The 19,927-nt window shown below is 36.2% G+C and overlaps 1 protein-coding gene across 9 annotated transcripts in view; it reads right to left on the bottom strand.

Annotated features, from left to right (window-relative positions):
- Nucleotides 1–19,927, bottom strand: part of DNAH12 (dynein axonemal heavy chain 12) — a 262,335-nt gene that overhangs the window by 77,423 nt on the left and 164,985 nt on the right. For 8 of the 9 annotated variants that reach the window (XM_047447667.1, XM_047447668.1, XM_047447666.1 and 5 more), the window contains 10 exons: nucleotides 15,964–16,097; nucleotides 15,319–15,481; nucleotides 14,227–14,307; nucleotides 13,707–13,883; nucleotides 11,140–11,271; nucleotides 9,156–9,245; nucleotides 8,036–8,176; nucleotides 5,859–6,100; nucleotides 4,696–4,843; nucleotides 4,249–4,394 (listed from right to left, as the gene is read on the bottom strand). In XM_047447667.1, coding sequence (XP_047303623.1) covers nucleotides 4,249–4,394; nucleotides 4,696–4,843; nucleotides 5,859–6,100; nucleotides 8,036–8,176; nucleotides 9,156–9,245; nucleotides 11,140–11,271; nucleotides 13,707–13,883; nucleotides 14,227–14,307; nucleotides 15,319–15,481; nucleotides 15,964–16,097 — 1,454 coding nt within the window. The remainder of the gene's footprint in view (nucleotides 1–4,248; nucleotides 4,395–4,695; nucleotides 4,844–5,858; nucleotides 6,101–8,035; nucleotides 8,177–9,155; nucleotides 9,246–11,139; nucleotides 11,272–13,706; nucleotides 13,884–14,226; nucleotides 14,308–15,318; nucleotides 15,482–15,963; nucleotides 16,098–19,927) is intronic. The other variant, XM_011533468.2, reaches the window with a different exon arrangement.

Below are 19,927 nucleotides of genomic sequence, written 5' to 3' on the forward strand. Positions count from 1 at the left end.
TTTGTGGCCAGCAATACACCAAAGAATCCTGGAAGAAGCAAAGGCAACACACACACTGCAGCTGAAAGTAGATTTGAAAGTTTACCCCTACTGCCACTCCAGTGGTTCCCCAACTGAAGTTTAGTTTTTTTTATTCTTGGAAAGCATAATATATATATAAATATCAAAGATAAGAAAAATTTTAATGAAATGTCTTCTTTTAACATCTTAACATATACTCACAGTATTCATTTCTTACAAAATGACTTGTTCTTTGATTTTAGGCTATTAATGGTAAATTACTTTAAAAATGTATTTGTATTTCTTAAGTGTAGCATTTCATACTAAAAATCACCGAATTGTACAATTTAAAAGGGTAAATTTTATGGTACATGAATTATATATCAATACAGCTGTTAAAAATGATGGGAGGTGGGGGCACTACAAATGCCTGTAGTTCCAGCTACATCAGGAGGCTGAGCCCAGGAGGTCAAGGCTGCAGTGGGCCATGATTGCACTACTACACTCCAGCCTAGGTGACAAACTGAGACCCCCATCTCAAAACACGCACACACACACACACACACACAAACACACGTGCATACACACCTGGACACATCAAACTGCTGAAAACTAAAGACAGAGAAAAATTGGAAAATTTCCAGAGGGAAAAAAAGATACATTACATAAAGAGGAACTAAAGTAAGACTTAGAGTAGACTTCTCATCAGACTATGTAGGTCAGAAGCAATGTAGTGACATCTTGAAAGAAAAAACAAAAAGCCCCAAAACAAAAGCAAAAAGCAAAAAACAACTGTCAACCCAGAATTCTAAACTCAGCAAAAAAAAAAAAAAAAAAAAAAAATTCTTTCAAAATGAAGATGAAATAAAGACTTTTTTCAAGGTTGGTTAATAGATACAGAAATATAGTTAAGTAGAAGGCACAAGATCTAGCATTTGATAGTGCAGTAGGGTAACTATAGTTAACAATAGTTTATTGTATAATTCAAAACTGCTAGAAAAGAAGAATTGGAATATTCCTGACATAAATAAAATATAAATGTTTAAAGTGATGAATACCCCATTATCCTGATTTGATCACTGTACATGGAATGAATGTATTAAAATACCACATATATCCTTGAAATATGTACAACTATTACATATTAATTGTTTTAAAAGATTTTTTTTAGGCCAGAAAAAGAAAAAAGCTGAATTCACTGCCAGTAGACCTGTTCACATGAAGTGTTAAAGGACATTCTTCAGGCAGAAGAAATGTGAAACCAAACAGAAACTCAAAGAAATTAAGAGTTCCCAAAATGGAAAAAAGATGAAGGTAAACATAAGACTTTTTTTCTTATATTTAATCACTCTAAAAGATAAATTATTGTCTAAAGTAAAAATAAAGAGAATGTATTATAGAATTTATGGCATATGAAAAAGTGAAATATATAACAGCACAAAAGACAGAAAAGAGAATTATACTGTTGAAAGATATTTACGCTATATATATAATAGCATAAAATTATTTGAAGATATTCAGTAAAGAACTAGAGATGGATGATATTATAAATACCAGCACAAACACTAAAAATAGGGAGTGTTTAACCAATAAGCCAATGTGGACATAAAATGGAATCATAAAAAACAAATTCAGTTAATCCAAATCCAAGAAGAAAAAGAAGAAAAAAGGAACAAAGAACAAAGGAGACAAATAGAAAAGAACAAGATGGTAGATTTAAATCTAAGTGTATCAATAATTCCACTAAATGTAAATGATCTAAATACTGTGATTAAAAATAGAAAGAAAAAGTCATTTTAAAAGCAATTCACAAGTCCTCACTAAAATTAGAAAGACTAAAGGGACAAAACAGTGAGGAAATAATGGATAACTCAACAAATAGTGCTGGAGTAAATGGCTATCATTATAAAAATAAATAAAATTACCTTTCATCATGTCCAAAAATGCAAAAAGAAGGAAGCAAACACGAGAGTCCTAACTGTAAAAAGTACACTGCTTTTCCAGGTCATGACTCTTTTTCTGAGAACTACACTCCTGGTCTTCAATACTCATGTTTGTTACTCTGGCTTGGGTCCCGCAGCTGTAAGTTACTAGACCTAAGGTGAATATTTGTCCCAAGCTAGACCAATCAGATGTTTTTCACAGGAATTAGAATTTGGACTCAGTGGTTATAGTTAATCTATATTACTCAACTGATTTTTTTTTTTTTTTGAGACAGAGTCTCACTTTGTCACCCCAGCTGGAGTGCAGTGGCGCAATCTTGGCTCACTGCAACCTCCACCTCCCAGGTTCAAGTGATTCTCCTGCCTCAGCCTCCTGCGTAGCTGGATTACAGGTGCACACCACCACACCTGGCTAATTTTTTTTTTTTTTTTGTATTTTCAGTAGAGGTGGGGTTTCACCATATTGACCAGGCTGGTCTTGAACTCCCGACCTTGTGATCTGCCTGCCTCAGCCTCCCAAAGTGCTGGGATTACAGGCGTGAGCCACCGTGCCCAGCCCACAACAGCCATTTTCTAAATTGCAATTTAAACAATCTGAATGGTCACGAAACACATGGAAATGGGTTCTAAAACAGAATTAACCGACTCAAGGGTCTAATATTCTGTTAAACAGAATGATCCCTGCTCTACCACAGAACACATTTTTTATAACCAAAATATATTCTTTTTCAGATTATATTAAATTTTGCTTATTGCCGATAAGTTTCAACCTAAGTATCTTTGCTCTCAAGTAAAGTTTTGAGTGCAAACTCAATATGATTATACACATTCTTATTTTATTAAAACAATACTGTCAATATAAACAGGAGTTGTTTTGAAGCTTCCAGAAAGATTTGCAAAGAATATAAAACAAACAATAACTCAAACTTTCAGGATGTTAGATTTCCTTATATCTTTAATTTATCTCATCTAAAAGAAGAGTGAAATTTCCATTATGGTTTTAAAGGCAGTGAGTGTGATATCCTATTCTACAATTCACTCCAGCATAGTAATTAAGGGCAAGGATTTGAAAGTCAGATTGCCTGGATTCAAATTCTGACTCTATCACTTATTCACTAAGTTATCTTTACTAATTTAAAATTACTAAATCATTCTGGGCTTCAATTTCCTCATCTATAAAATGGGATAATAATAATACCTAACTCACAGGATGTTGTGAAGATGTAGGGCACTTAGACTAGTATCTGATAAATCTAAGAGCTCCATAGTATCTATCACAGCATATTTGAGACACAGTCCCATGAAAAGACTTTTAAAATTAGATGATAGTGTCACTACATAACCATTATAGAAAACTATTTCTCAAAGGAAAGTAGTTTTCCAAGTTTTTCAAAGTGATATAAATAAAAGGATAACAATAAAGGCCATTTGAAAAGTTTTTATAGTTATCAGACTAACAATGATAGCTAATAAAAAAGGTACCCATGAAATTGCATAAATTATCAAGTTACTGTATCTTGAAGATGGGTAGCAATACCTAGTTAAAACAAGTACATTGTATAGCCAGAAACTAGAAATAGCCCAGAGGTCCATCAGTAGGAGAATACATAAACAGTGATATATTCATAAAATGGAACTCAGCAACAAAAAATAGGAACAGAGTACCAATGCATGCAATAACATGGATAAATCTCAGAAAAAAATATGCCAAAAGAAGCCTTACCCAATAACATATACATTATGATTCCTTTATATGAAATTCTAGAAGTAATCCATACAAAAATAACCTAGGCAAAACTAACCTATGGCGGGAAATAATCAGAACAATTATTTCCTGGGGTGGGATGAGGGTAGGGATTTACTGGAAAGGAACATGAGGAGACTTCCCTGGTGGTAGTCATGTTTTGTATCTTGATAGAGATTTGGGTTACACCAGTGTATATCTTTGTTAGAACTCACTGAATGGTATGGTTTTGTGTATTTCATGTATGTAAATTTTACCTCAAAAGAATAAAACATAAGCAAATATTGAACTTTAGTTGATGATATGCATGCTGAAGTACCTGGAAGGAAGCATACCTATGTCTGCCATTTACATGGAAATGCATTTTAAAAGATGGGTTGACGGAGTGATAGAGGGAAGGACAGGTACATGATAAAGCAGCAAGAATACTAAAATGTTAATTGCAGAATCTAGGAGGTGGTAGTTATATTGGTGCTTATGATAAAATTCTTTCAACGTTTCTATATGTTTGAAAACTTTCAAACAGAACAACAGAAAAAACAAATAGTTTATATTTCTTACCAACGCCTACAGTTGTTAACGATCACTCCGTTATCTATGGAAAATGTATCTGTTGGTAAACCAGCAATATTCCAAGCTCTAATTTTTACTGGATCACCCAGGGTTTTACTCAACAAGAACTCCTCTGAACACGGGATTTTTTTCTTCTGTAAGAAATAAACAAAAATCTATTTTCCTTCACCTTGTTAACTGAAATATTTTTTAAATTAAAATATTGGTTTAGTTGTCACTAGGCATTATTTAATAACTCTAAGGAACAGAAAGAAAAGAAATTAAAAGTTGAATAGTGGAAGTATTTTACTGATGAAACAAGAAGCAAAAAAAGAAAGACCCCATGTTTTCAGTTATTTCTTCTCTTCTGCCATTATTATCATCCTTTCCCCCAAAATATCCCAAAACATACTTTGGATGTTCTAAAACAAGACTTACAAAATATAAAACCACTACCTTGCACAACATGCTCCAATCTTTTGTACATGTTTGTCGAAAGCCAGAAGTGAAAGCACCAAGGTAAGCTATTACTCCTGCTGATACTAAGACATCGCCAGTTAAATTTTCATATGTTATCTGAAGGTCATCTGCAGCTTGGGCCCATCTGTGCCATCAACCAAAGGCAAAACAGATTTACAACAGAGAATGATGGGAGACAGTAATATAAAGGGCAAGGGTTTCCAGTCCAATTCTGTAACAAAAAGCTATAAAATTTGGACACCTGCTTATCTGTAAAATGAGGTTGGAACCCTTCTAGCTCTTATACGCTATAACATGTATCTATATTATGTGAATGACAATCTTCCTTTCATTATTAGAATATTAGACATTTCTTGCAGGACTTGGCCCTTCAGAAAAAGAAAAAAAAAAACAAAACCCAAACACCAACATTTTGCCTAATAATTTTCTCTTGGATGATTTGGTCTAGTGGCTGTGCTATTTGTTTTAGTATTTATTGTTAGACTGTAAAACATACGAACATTTGCAATTCATTACCAAAAATTACATTTAAGCTGTATAGAAGCTGACATACTAAGATTGGTATTTTTCCCATTTAATGAAACCCATACAATAAAAAAGTGTATTCCAAAACTATCTAATCTGTACTACAAAGTCTTGTCAAAGACACATTGTTACTTTATCATGCTATTCATTCAATGAATAGAATAAATGAAACAGCTGGCTGTCCAATCCAAGTAAATACATTAGAATAAAGCTTACTGGCTTTGTTAGATCAAGCCAGTTATATCTTCCTTAACATAAAATTTAACCAATGAACCATGCATTCACTGATCCCTCCAAACATTACAAAAAATTTTGAACATACATAAAATTGGAAAGAACTGTACAACAAACAACTACATACTTACCACTTGGATTTAAAAAATTGTTACCATTTGCCTTGTTTGCCTCTTTTAAAAGACCATGTGAAAGCAATTTGTAAACACCATCCTCAAGACTGATATCCTTGTTTGGAGAAGCCTGGCCAGGTGTCTTCCAGAATGTCCCACATTCTCAACCAGCCATTGTAAAATCAGTAATCACAATAAATACCCAAAGAAGGTCACATATTCAAGGCTGACATTCCTAAATCTTGCTAAAACAAATAGAAATCTGACCTTGATTTTTCTCCACCCAGTCCTCCAATTAATTGTGAGGCTCTTTCAAGCTTCTTAGCACAGAGTTCCACCTGGTCTTCTAAAGCAGCCTTTTCCTCTGTTTTCTCAAGAAATGTCATTTGTAAATTTTCCAGATGATGTTCTACTTCTGCCAGTTCTGCTCTCTTCTGATTCAAAAGCTCCATTGTCTCAGCTAAAGACTTCTGAGCTTCTGATAAGCGAGCTTTCTTAGGAGCCACTACCTTTTTGGGAAGAATATATGCAGATATGATGTGTACTTTGTAAAACTGATATCTATATAATTCCTCCCTTATAAATATTATGGATTAGAAATGCATTGTAATAAATTATATAAACATTTTGCCTTAAATCTTCTGTTTTCACATACAAAGTAAAATATACCTATATATTTTATAAAATAGATAAATCTGGACTAGCAAATTGTTACCTATAAAATAGATAATTTATACTAGGCTAACAAAATGTCAAAATATGTAGCAAAAATGTCACAAGATGTCTCAAAATAATGAGAAGGTGTCACTTAACTGTTGTCAAATAACAGAAAAACATATAACATGAAATAATAAGTGTTTGTTTAAACACATGAATATGTTTTGGGTGTTTTTTTTTTCCTTTCCAAGCTTGTGATTTTCTTCCCAGTCAGACTGAGGCTTACATCTGCCTTGCCAGGATTAGAGCAGTGATGGTGGAAATAAAAAGGAAGAAAACCTCAATGCTCAGTTTCACTACCAAAACTGAATTTTCCCCAACAAATACTGAAAAGCCACACTTGACTGAGAGAAAAGGGATTTCCTAAAGTTTTTTTGTTATGCTCATCAGGCTATCAAGAATGCAGTTTGGCCAACTGGATCACCAAGCATCCTCCAAGCCCTTGGTACAAAGAATGGAGAAGATGACCAGAGAGAGTGTGTGCCTGTTAGAAAGAAGATAGACCTAACTCTTCTGGTAAATTGCTGTGAATGAAGCTGAAGGCAAGGAGGGACAAGAGAGAGAGAGCAGTGTATCAGACACAAAATGCCCTGCTTTCTCTCTGCTGCACTGAAATCATGAAAGAAAATGTGTTAAATAAGTAGACAGAAAGCAGGAAGCTCTCTTTTCTGCTTCTGACTTCAGAGAAGACATTGTTGCATATTTCTCTCCCATGCTTCTGTATCAGCATGGGGCAGCTTGTATCAGAATAAAAATGGCAGTGTGGAGTTATAGAGTGGGAAGGCAGGAAAAAGCCTGAGTGCCTTGGCTTCTCTGCTTTGTAGAAAGGATCCACAAGATTCCACACATCTGTGGAACATGTGGAAATTAGCTGAGCTACCATGAGACTACTGTGTGAAGGGACAAGATGTTTAATGGAAAGACATCCTAGATAAAATTAATTTTATTTCTTTAACAGGTTTATTCAGGTCTGCTCCTTTGAAACTAACAAAGTCTCTATCTCTCTACAGGTACATGTACATATATCATTTAGGAAGACCTTCCCAATTATTACAGTTTGATCATTTATTCTATCTTCTGAGCTTGTTTTAAACACAAGCTACCATATATTTTCATCTACACCTTTTTATTTATATTTCTTTCTTCCTTAGGTAGAATTCTGCAAGCTGCAAGGGCAAAGCCTTTGTTGCCCTGGTCCTTTGCTAGCCAAATTTAGAAAATGCTCTTAACTATTCTCTGCTCTCCCAGAAATTTGGACCCAGTGGGTATTCCATAAAAGGTTCTATGTCAAGGCATGTTCTTGTTTCAGGGGATCTTTCCATGCTCTGCCTCTTAACTCTGCTGGATCCTCTTACTTCTGATCCTTTGAATCAACTTTTTAATCTGGCACTTTCCCCTTGATGTTTTAGATTTTTCTTTGCTTCTGCCTCATCAAATCTTAATTCCGTTTTCTCCTGGGTCCTAAAGCTATAAGTAAATCTGACTAATTCTACTCATGATCCCTGCTCCTGCATCACTACCACCCACACCAGCCCCAACCAGGTTATGTTATGCACAAATATTCTCCTCGTCTGCTAGGTATGCAATCGATATATGATAGTACACTACAGCAGAACAAATTCTCTGTGTGGTCACTTTGAGAAACTTCTTAACCAGTAAATATAAGCACAGATTCTAATTCCTGGGAATATCTTAGTAGAACACAGATGTGCTAATGTTGAAAGTACCTTTGCAACTCTGTCGTACACTTCCATGGCCATGATCCACTTACACAGACCCTCAGCTGCAGAAGAAGCTTTAGCAACCTTAGGGGGATCAAATTCAGGGTTCATTAAGTATTCACTACGAATCTTCTGCATAACAGTCACCTATACAACAAAGATTTAAATTTTAAAATTTCAATATAGATCACATAATCATCAGATGGAAAAAAATCATATACAATAAAAACATTTATATAAAAAAGTTAATGTTGGCTTTAAAAGCCAAAATAAGTATTTTGAAATAATTTAAAAATAAGCATAATTGTAGCAGAAGTATGTCATATTTGTGAGCAAAATATGCAAATGTATTACAGATATTAAGGCAAAATGTTTCTTCCAAAAATATTAAAAGACTTACAAGTTTAGGCTGGGTGCAGTGGCTCACACCTGTAATCCCAGCACTTTGGGAGGCCAAGGCTGGCAGATCACTTGAGACCAGGAGTTCGAGGACAGCCTGGCCAATATGGTAAAACCCTGTCTCTACTAATAGTACAAAAATTAGCTGGGCATAGTGGTGGGTGCCTGTAATCCCAGCTACTCAAGAGGCTGAGGCAGGAGAATTGCTTGAACCTAGGAGGTGGAGGTTGCAGTGAGCCAAGATCCCGCCACTGCACTCCAGCCTGGGTGACAGAATGAGACTCTGTCTCCCAAAAAAAAAAAAAAAAAAAAAAAAAAAGACATAAGTTGAGAGAACAAATGGAAACAATGGAAAAGAACAATTAAACATTAAGAATAAGAATTTGAATAGAAAATAATATGCTATACTTTTTAAATCTTACATAAATTTGTGTATCAGATTTCTTAATAATTAATTTATCATAACAAGACATTTAGACAACTCTTTCAACTCAATTATACACTAAAAGAGTATCTTCTTAAATAACTTTTTAACTATCTGAGACAGCAATGGTTTTAAACATTATGAAAACTCATAGTATCATTAATAAAGGTAATATCTCTTTATTAATTATCTTAATCCTAAAATGGACTATTTCTGTATGTGTTGTAAACTATTGCATAATATTAACGTTCTTAAACATTTTAGCCAAGTCACATTTGTAGAAAAAAACCCAATGCAACTCACTGGAATGTTGTCCTTGTCATATTCTTTCAAATCTCTTAAGAAATTCATATCTCCCAGAAGTTTTTTGCTAGGTCCCCAGTAATCTAATATCTACAAATAAAATTTATGGAAATTTGTTAAATTTGCAACTAAAAATGCTAGATGCAAAATTTTTCTTCTTGAAGTTTAAGAGGCATTATCCAGAGAAACTAATCATATACTTTTTGTTTGTTTTGAGATGGAGTCTCGCTCTGTCGCCCAGGCTGGAGTACTGTGGTGCAATATCGGCTCACTGCCTCCCAGGTTCAAGTGATTCTCCCACTTCAGCCTCCCGAGTAGCTGAGACTACAGGCTTCTGTCACCACACCTGGTTAATTATTGTATTTTTAGTAGAGAGGGGGTTTCACCATGTTGGCCAGGCTGGTCTCCAACTCCTGACCTCAAGTGATCCACCTGCCTCAGCCTCCCAAAGTGCTGGGATTACAGGCGTGAGCCACCATGCCCAGCTTAATCACATACTTTCAAAATATCAACTTACATCTCCTTGGAAATTAAGACTTTCCTCAAGAACATGTTAAACATAAAATATTTTTAAATATGGAAATGCATTTATAGACTGAATTTGTTTAAAAAAGTAAACACTGAAAGGAAAATAATGGTTATTTCTTTTGAAAACTTAAGCTACTTGCATAAACGCCATCACAATTTCATATAAGAAAATAAATTTTTATTACTTCTAAATTTATTTTCCTTTATTCTTTGACTCTTTCAAATAAGAAAAGTAGCAAACTTTTTCTTAAAGACAAATTCCGCACTTACCTAGGCTCTCCAAGCGAAATTAAAGGAGAAAGCAGAAGGCCAAAGAGTACACATTGCTCTGCCAACCATAGGGTAAAAGCACATGCTACATATATTGGCAAAAGAGCTGAAATAACCAGCTGAAAGTTCTTTTTTTCTACTTCCGGAAGCCTGATAGGGAGGTGTGTGTGTGTGTGTGTGTGTGTGTAAATGAGAATAACTTAATAAGGTAAGAGCCTATATATTTTCTTTATTATCTCAATGAAGGACAGAATGGCCAAAAAAAAAAATCTAATTCTTTAATTCAGGAATTTAAACCCAGGTATTAGAAAAACCTGAAAATAAAATTAGTCTGTAAATTCAGTTTAGAATGGATACTATGCCTTCCTTTTTAAGGGATGTATCCTGGAATAATAATTATAATAATAACAGCTAACATTTATTGTGTACTTATTGTTTGTGAGGCTTTACACCTAAGAACTTTATATGTATTAACTAATCTAATTCTCTTATTAGCTTTTTGAGGTAGATACTATGAGTACCATCTTTTTTTAATGGAATTCCACACATGTTAAATACCTTAACCAAGGTCACACTGCTAGTGGGGTCCGGATTTCTGAATACAGACATTCTAGCTCCAGGGCACATGCTTTTAACAACTTTGCTATACTGCTTAACTCAGATGTTTTGGAATACCCAGAAAGGATCTTAGCTGGAAAAGTACAGGCACCTCAGTGTTCATTTAGTTCCAAGCCCATGGTAGTGGAGAATTCTGCATAGACAGAAAAGGAGATGGAAGCAACTAGAACCATATATATATATTTTTTTTTTTAGCTGAAGTCTCACTTTGTCACCCAGGCTGGAGTGCAGTGGCACAATCTTGGCTCACTGTAACCTCTGCCTCCTGGGTTCAAGCAATTCTCCTGTCTCAGCCTCCTGAGTAGCTGGGATGACAGGTGCCCACCACCGCACCTGGCTAATTTATATATTTTTAGTTGAGACGGGGTTTCACCAGGTTAGCCAGACTGGTCTGGAACCACGTTTTTTGACACTACATTGTCTTAGCTTTACCCTAGAATATATACAGACAATATCTGGAAAACAATGTTTCTTCCCTAATTTGGGTACTGTTGATATTTGATAATAGTTGCTGCTGACAAGTTCTATACATTCATGAATATGATTCAAATCTGTGTCAAGTTATTACCTTGCCTCCAGTCCCTGAAGGATCTGAAATTTTTTCTGGTTTTATATCTTTCATGACACAAACAGCAGCCATAACTAGTTTAACACCAGATGGAGGATTCTTCATTGATTTCACAATCGTAATGTCGGCTGGCTAAAAGAAAAAAACAAAAAACAAACAGGACATATTCAGAATAGTTTACTTTTAAATAATGAAAAATTTTAAAGTAATGTTGGGGAATAATAAAAGCATCCCTTTTTATTTGAAATCAAAGTTTTTTTTTTTTCTTTTTTTACTTCAGGTTATGAAAGAATTAACAAAAGAGAATTCAGCACAGATTAAGACTAATGGTTCTCAAATGTTGGGAGGGGTCAGTCATAGATGCCTATGAGAATATAATGGCAGCTATAAATCCACCAGAAAATATAATTTTTCACATATACAATCACATACCACACCCATACGTGGAACCTAAGTTAAGAATCCTAATTTAGACAAAGACTTAACTCTATATTTGCTTATATATATTAGTTCTATTGAAGAAGATGAAAGAAGAGGTACGTCCCAATTCCAAACCTATTTTCTAAAAAGGTATATATTGTTATAATAGATAGTATAGATTCACTTACCCACTCCAATATATTTCTGACATTCCTTGCAAGATGCAAATGCTGGAAAGCTAACAACTATATATCTTAGTTTTTCATGCAATTAAAGTTCTGGGTGAGAATTAGATTCCAGATCACTTGAGTGATACTAGAATTCAGACAAATGGGGAGAGTGGCAGGGTGCAAGACATCCATTGTGACAATATAGATTACAGTGGAGGTTACGTGGCAGTGTAGGAAGCTCTGGAGGCTTCCTACTCAGAGAGACAGCTGCTCTAGTAGACCATTTCTGCAGCGTGGCTTTGTGAGTCATTCCTGGAAGCTCAGCCTGGGATCTGATTCTTTTACCTCTTCCAACAATTCTGTAATCCATTTATAAAATTCCCTGAAGAATCTTTGTCTACTTATACTAAAATCAACTCTCTTCTCTGAAACTGAACTCTAACTCAGGTAATACAGCATTTGATATCAGGAAGGGTATAAGCAACAGACTCTCAATGAAAGGGGAACCTAATATTAATGACCTAAATTGGTGAGAGTTTGAAGCCATCAAGAATCCTATATCAGGGGATGGAGTGCTGCAGATTCATGGAACATAGGGAGAAGTTACTTAAATTAATGCTCATGGTCACCTAGAATGGAGTGCCTCTTAAAGGCTTTGTCAAACTAAGTAGCTGCTGTAATAAATCTCTAAGGAGAGAATGCAGAAAGATCACAGGGTAATAAGTGACTCTTAAATGTGCCAGAAATTAGCCAGGCATGGTGTCATGTGACTGTAGTCCCAGCTACTCAGGAAGCTGAGTTGGGGTGGGGGGCGGGGGGGATTACTTTAGCCCAAAAGTTTCAGGTTGTGGTGAGCTATGATCACATCGTTGCACTCCAACCTGGGTGACAGAGTGAGACCCTGTCTTAAAAAAAAAAAAAAAGGAGAAAAGAAAAGAAAAAAAGTACTGAGAGCATGAAGAAAGAATATAGTAAGCTCAGAGTTTTAAATTCCTGATTCACAGCACTAGGAAATTTCTATAAATGCCCTAAAACAATCTTGTCTTATAACTACAGGGCTGATGTTACTGAAAAATCAGAGTTCGATCCTGTGAGATGCTGAATTACCCACAGGTTGAGTTTACAGTCTTGTCAGGCCTGTTACATGAAACAGTATTGATTAGGAAAAAAGGCAAAGAATGGGACCTGAATACACTGTTGACTCCCTAGTCAACAGATGTTATCTCTCCTGCTGTGCTTGGTGCAGTTGTTCTGGTCTTGCCTAAAGACCTGTAAAAAGTTACGTACAACATAATGTGGTACAGATAGGTGCCAGTCACAGCTGTACTGGAAATGGCCTTTAAGTTTTTCTGTGTATGCAGGTCCAGGAGGCTGCACACTGTACTTAACATATGCCTGCTGGTCCATGTACAGAACCACTTTGGCCTCTTGGAGTCTATTCGTCTCATTCCCACTAGAATATCCTCAATGAAAATTATAAATAATATATAAAAAGCAAAAATAGGCCAGGCATGGAAGCTCATGCCTGTAATCCCAGCACTTTGGGAGGCCAAGGTGGGAGGATCGCTTGAGCCCAGGAATTTGAGACCAACCTGGGCAACATAGGGTGACCCTGTCTCTATAAAAAAAAATGTTTAAAAAGATTAGCCAGGCCTAGTGGTGTGTGTCTGTGATCCTAGTTACTGAGGAGGCTAAGGTAGGAGAATCATTTGAGCCCAGGAGATGGAGGCTGCAGTGGGCCATGATTGCACTACTGCACTCCAGCTTGGTCAACAAAGTGAGACTCTGTCTCAAAAAATAAAATAAAATAAAAACAACAATATATCAAAGGTAAACTGTTAAGAGCCAAGTTTCATTTGACTGGACAAAAACAATATAATATCACCCACTGAAATACAGCCATTTCTAATAAGCCAAATACCCATATTCAGCTTCCCTTGGTTGATGAAACACAAAGTAGCTAATTCAAACACTTGCCTTAAGTGTATCCAGTGCAGACAGAGCTGCTTCCAAGGCTGGAATCGCCTCAGCTAGGTCACTTTCACACTCATTTTTCAGAGCTTGGGCTTCTTCAGCTTTCCCACTGGCTATCTCTTCATCCAATTTCACAAATTGTCTTTTCGCTTCCACTTGTACAGACTCTATCTCAATAACCTAAAGAGGTGAAAGATGAAGACAATTTCTCAAACACCCTATTGCTTTCTCAATCCTAGACAAAAGAATATTTGAAAATTAGGGAATCTAACATATCATTTTGAAGGATAGAAGGGTCTATAATAAAATGAGGATATACAAATACATGTGAACTAATTTGGAAATGGGCTTCAAAAATTCCTTCAAAAAAGACAGAACCCACGTTAGACCCAGTGAGATAGCCAGTCAATGGAAAAGGGTAAAGTCTCTAAAGTCTAGTAGCAAAACATTAACCCTTATTTTCAAGGCTAATTTTACTTATTTCAATTGTCCTTTGACATCAAAAACATTCAGGATACTCTACCTGCATCATATTTGCATTTTCAATTTTAGCTTCCTCCAATTTGGGCTGTAATTCAACAAGCTCCATTTGCATTTCACCAACCTAAAGAGACAGTTTATAATATGATTAAGTTTCCATTGCTATAATTGCTATTGAAACCAAATGCAGAAAATAGAAATTTAAATGTATCCATAAAAGTATTGGAGCAGAAAATCTTAACTTTTTCTTCTAGTTCTTTGCATGACAAACAAAACTATGAAAGTGTGGGCCAGGGCCAAGCACGGTGGCTCACATCTGTAATCCTAGCACTTTGGGAGGTCAAGGCCGGTGGACTGCCTGAGCTCAGGAGTTTGAGATAAGCCTGGGGAACATGGTGAAATCCCATCTCTACTAAAAATAAAAATATTTGCCAGGCGTGGCAGCATGTGCCTGTAATCCCAGCTACTTGGGAGGGTGAGACAGGAGAATTGCTTGAACCCGGGAGGTGGAGCTGCAGTGAGCCGAGATTGCACCATTGCAATCCAGCCTGGGTGACAGAGTGACACTCCATCTAAAAAAAGAAAGTGTGGGTCAGTTTTCTTCACAAAAGACCTCAGTAGGAGAATGCAGTCACCATGGAAGAAATGTAGATTGAAAACAAAGCAGCATCTCAGAGTATTCCTGATATATTATGTGCATGACATGATACAAAGATCAACCAACCAAACCTCTATTACTTACGTTGAACTAACACTAGTAAGTATTACTAGCACTTGACTCATTAAAAAAACCACAAATCTTATATTTAACCAGCTTTTACAATAAAAAGCGACCTAAACTTATATTCTCTTAAATGGTAAAAAATTAATTAAAAATAAAACATGATATATTTGAGTCTGTGTGATCTAGGCAACTTATTGAACTTCTGTAAAACTTACTGTACTCATTTGTAAAATGAGGATCACAGAAGTGTCCACCTTATAGAGTTGTTATGAAGAATAACTGAAGGAATAGATGTGAAAGACATAACAAAGAGCCTGGCATATCACATATTCTCAATAAATTGTAGCTTGTATTATTATTTCTTATACTTCTCAGTATATATTACCATTTTGAGCAGCTCATCAAATTTACCTGAGACTCAGCAAAAGCTAATTTGTCAAGCCCATTCATGTATCGTTGTTTTGCTTCCATGACAGCTTGTCGCTTCTGTGTCAAAAGCTGTCGAAATGAGCCAATGAGTTCAAGATAAGAAGTAGCAGTAACATAGTTATGTCGTCCTAACTCATGCAAGAACCTAAAAGAGAGGCAGGTAACATAGCTCACTTTAAGTAATGGATTTCACAAAAAGGTAAATTCAACATACCATTAACAGACATTTAATAAAGATTACATTTTATACAGAAGCTACTGAGTACTTGAACATTTTAAGACTAGAATCCTACATATTACCACATTATAATTTCTTGTCTCTAAAATACCAACTAGTGGTGACATATTCAAAAGGCACAAATCAAGTGAGATCCTATCTTTTAAAAAACCACAAATCAACAAATATGTCTAATAAAAGATGAACTACAACAAGAAAGAATCAGACTATTTCACATGTTTCATAAGCCAGGAGGATCTAACTTGGTAAGAGACCCAAGATATCATGTAAACCAGGTTAAGTACAGTAGGAAAGGGGATAGCAGATAAGATAGCAAATACATGTGAATTAATTTGGAAATGGCCTTCACAAATCCCTTCATTGTCATTTTTAAATTCACTAATATTAACCTTTCTGAAAGATCCATAATGGAGGTGTGAAAGTGTTTACAGATTGGAACTATCTCTTGTTGTTCAACCTCAGTAAGCTCCAGTGTTTCTAAGAATTTCACAGCTACACGTTCAAGAGCATCTTCAGGCCATGACTAAAAATAAGAAAAAGAAAAACACTTGAAATTTAAGATGAACAGTAGTCTCATTCCAACTCCATAAGTTAATGCATAATAAGTTACATGACTTTCTATGGGAGAATAATTTGGTGTTGAGAAAATCAAAACTTTAATGAAGAAAACAGAATAAGAGGGACTGAGGTCTCTGAAAGACCTAATATTCTTATATATTAAAATGAAAAAAGGATAATATAAAGGAAGGATCAATGAAATTTTAGTTATCAAAGATGTATTACACTGTCTTCCCAACTCTTCTACTTGCATGTCTAGTAGGCATCCTAAATTTATCATGACAGTGGCAGAAGCTGCTAGTTGCCCACCCAATATCTACTAGCCCCTTCTTCCTTAGGACTCCAATTTTATTCTAGATAGCAATATACCCAGCTAAAAGACTAAATCTCCTAGACTCCCTTGGAATTCAGAATGGCCAATGACACATAAGCAGTTGTTGGGTGGAGACTTCAGGGAAGACTTTTTAGAGAGTTACATAGAGCTGGGATATCCTTTTTGGCCTACTTTCATTCTTCTACTTCTTGTTTGGAACATGGTTGTGAACAATGGCACTCCAGCAGCCACCTCAGGTCATAAGTTACTTTGAGAATGGAAATCACATGCTAAGGAGAGTAAAGCAGAAATAACTTGGGATCCTCATGACTTTGTTAAGCCACAAAAGCCCCACTCTGCTTACCTTTAGATTTTTTTTTCATATGACAGTTAAAAAACCCAATGTGTTTAGGTTGGGTTTCTGTTACTGGGAGACGATCACAATTTCTACTATAATGTCCAAAGTTGATTTTTAAATTTTCTTCCCTACAAATTTGCTTCCTAGCCAGTCCTCTCCATCTTAGTGAAATGGTTCCTTCCTTGGCTTTCCTGGAATATGCCAAGCATGCTCCTACCTCTGAGTCTTTGGACGTGCTTTTCCCTCTGACCAGAACCCTCTTCCCTCAGACCTCCATGTGGTTCATGCTGTCACTTCCTTCACATCCAAGCTCATATACTGACTTACCAGAGCACTCTTTATAAAACAGCATTCCTTCCCCCATTACTCTGTCTTTTATACTGAGTTTTCTTCTCAGCACTTACCAATACATGGCATATCATTAATCTTTATTTGTTCACTAGAGTATTTTCCAGATTTCCTTTCATTTAGTTTCAATAATATGCTTATAATTTTTTTCCTTTGTGGCAGACAATATGCATTTTAAGACCATTTTTTTTTTGGTGTCTAGCCTAAGCACATACTGCCAGTGTATGCATTTTTTATTAATAGATTGTTATATTCATGTGATCCAATTGTACCAATATATATTTTAAATCTAAAAAAGAGACTTCTAAAGAACTATTAAGATTAGTGAAATTTTATAAAATGCCAGGTTAAATGTCATATAACTTACACATCATTAAAAAACATTACAGAGGAGGCTTAGACTGGATTAAGAAAATGTGGCATATATACACCATGGAATACTATGCAGCCATAAAAAAGGATGAGTTCATGTCCTTTGTAGGGACATGGATGAAGCTGGAAACCATCATTCTCAGCAAACTATCACAAGGACAAAAAACCAAACACTGCATGTTCTTACTCATAGGTGGGAATTGAACAATGAGAACACTTGGACACAGGGTGGGGAACGTCACACACCAGGGCCTGTCGTGGGGTTGGGGGAGGGGGGAGGGATAGCATTAGGATATATACCTAATGTAAATGGTGAGTTAATGGGTGCAGCACACCAACATGGCACATGTATACATATGTAACAAACCTGCACGTTGTGCACATGTACCCTAGAACTTAAAGTATAATAAAAAATAAATAAATTACAACATTCTCTTTCTCTTCCCCCACCTTTCCCATGCACTTCTTCCTGTTTTAGTCTTCCCTTTAGTGTTTGTCACCAGTTCATGTATATTTTATCTTGTGTATATTTACTTCTTTATCTTATTTACTCTCTGTCCCCTCCATTAAAAAGCAGGTCCACAGGAAAAAAAAAAAACATTACAGAGGCTTATATTTATGTTCTGGGTGCTTCATTTTTAATCATCCTGCTAATAATCATGCACATTTAATACTATCTTTGGCAGTTAGAATATTTATGACTAAAGAGGCAGAAAACCAGTCTTACTGTATCTTCAAAAAAAAGAAGATGCATATTCTTATAGAGTAATACCCAGAAGTAGGGTATTTCCAGGGTTGCTTCATTTAGAAGCTCAACTATATTATCAAGTATTCACGTTCTTTCCGTCTTGTTGTTCCCTTTCTCAGTGCACTTTATTTCATACTTGGGCTTGTCCCATTATGGTGACATGATGACTGCTGCAGCTATGGGCATCACATTCTCAAGCAACAAGATTGAGAGACAAAAAAGGCCCTTTTCTTACCATGTGACTCCTTTTATAGTGAAAATACTTTTTTTCCCCAAAGCTCCCCAGCAGACTTTACCTCAAGACCCATTGGCAAGGAATGGCTCATACATGGGCTCAGGCATAAAACAATCACTAGCAAGAGAAATGAAAGCATACATATATACATATAAATATATATACACATATGTGTGTGTGTGTGTGTGTGTGTGTATATATATATATATATAATACTTTTTTTTTTGAAATGGAGTTTCACTCTGTTGCCAGGTTGGAATGCAGTGGCACAATCTCGGCCCACTGCAACCTCCACCTCCTGGGTTCAAGCAATTCTCCTGCCTCAGCCTCCCGAGTAGCTGGGACTACAGGCGTGCACCACCACACTGAGGTAACTTTTGTATTTTTAGTAGAGATGGGGTTTCACCATGTTGGCCAGGATGCTCTCCATCTCTTGACCTCATGATCCACCCACCTCAGCCTCCCAAAGTGCTGGGATTACAGGCGTGAGCCACCGTGCCCAACTGAGAGCACCAATATTGACTTAGGGCTGGGCACAATGGCTCGTGCCTATAATCCCAGGACTTTGGGAGGCTGAGGTGGGAGACAAGCTTGGGCAACATAGAGAAACCCTGTCTCTATAAAAAATTTAAAAATGAGCTGGGCATGGTGGCATACACCTATAGTCCCAGCTACTCTGGAGGCTGAGGTGGGAGGATTGCTTGAGCCCAGGAGGCAGAGGTTTCAGTGAGCTGTGATTGCACCAGTGCACTCCAGCCTGGGCGACAGAGATCCTGTCTCAAAAAAAAAAAAAAAAATATATATATATATATATATATATATACTTAGACCAACCATGATTCAATCCCTCTGATACACAGCTACATGGAGGGTGATTTCCCAAACAAAACCAGAATGCAGTTCATAATAAATAGGCAAAGAGAATAAAACAAATCAGTACCAGAAACTATTTTTTTTCTTTTAATTATCCAGGGTCAATGCACAGTCCACATTCTATTGGGCATAAAACAATAGAAGGTACCATGAGCTACTGTTCTCAAGAGTATGAATACCAAATTGTATTAAACAGGCAGTGACAGTCTGTCTTAGGTGAGGCAGTGGCCTTCATCATTTGCTTCCAGCATGACTGAAATTGTTGCCCAGTTGGTTTTCCTGTCTCTTGTTTTGCCCTACTCCAATTCACCTACCACACAGCTTCCAACTGCTTTGGTTTTTTCCTAAATGCAGATTATCTAAAAATATGTTGATGCTACTGTGATATCTCTGGTATAAAACCAAATTCCTGGGAATACCTTGCCAATGTCTTTGTAACCTGGTACCCACCCAAAGCTCCAACTCAACTGCTGCTGCCCTTAAAATGCCAGCCAGCTATACCAAACAATTTTCAGTGGGGCAGATGAGCCATCCTCTCCCCACCCTTC

The sequence above is a fragment of the Homo sapiens genome, chromosome 3, assembly GCF_000001405.40.
Source record: "Homo sapiens chromosome 3, GRCh38.p14 Primary Assembly".
Taxonomy (NCBI): Eukaryota; Metazoa; Chordata; class Mammalia; order Primates; family Hominidae; genus Homo; species Homo sapiens.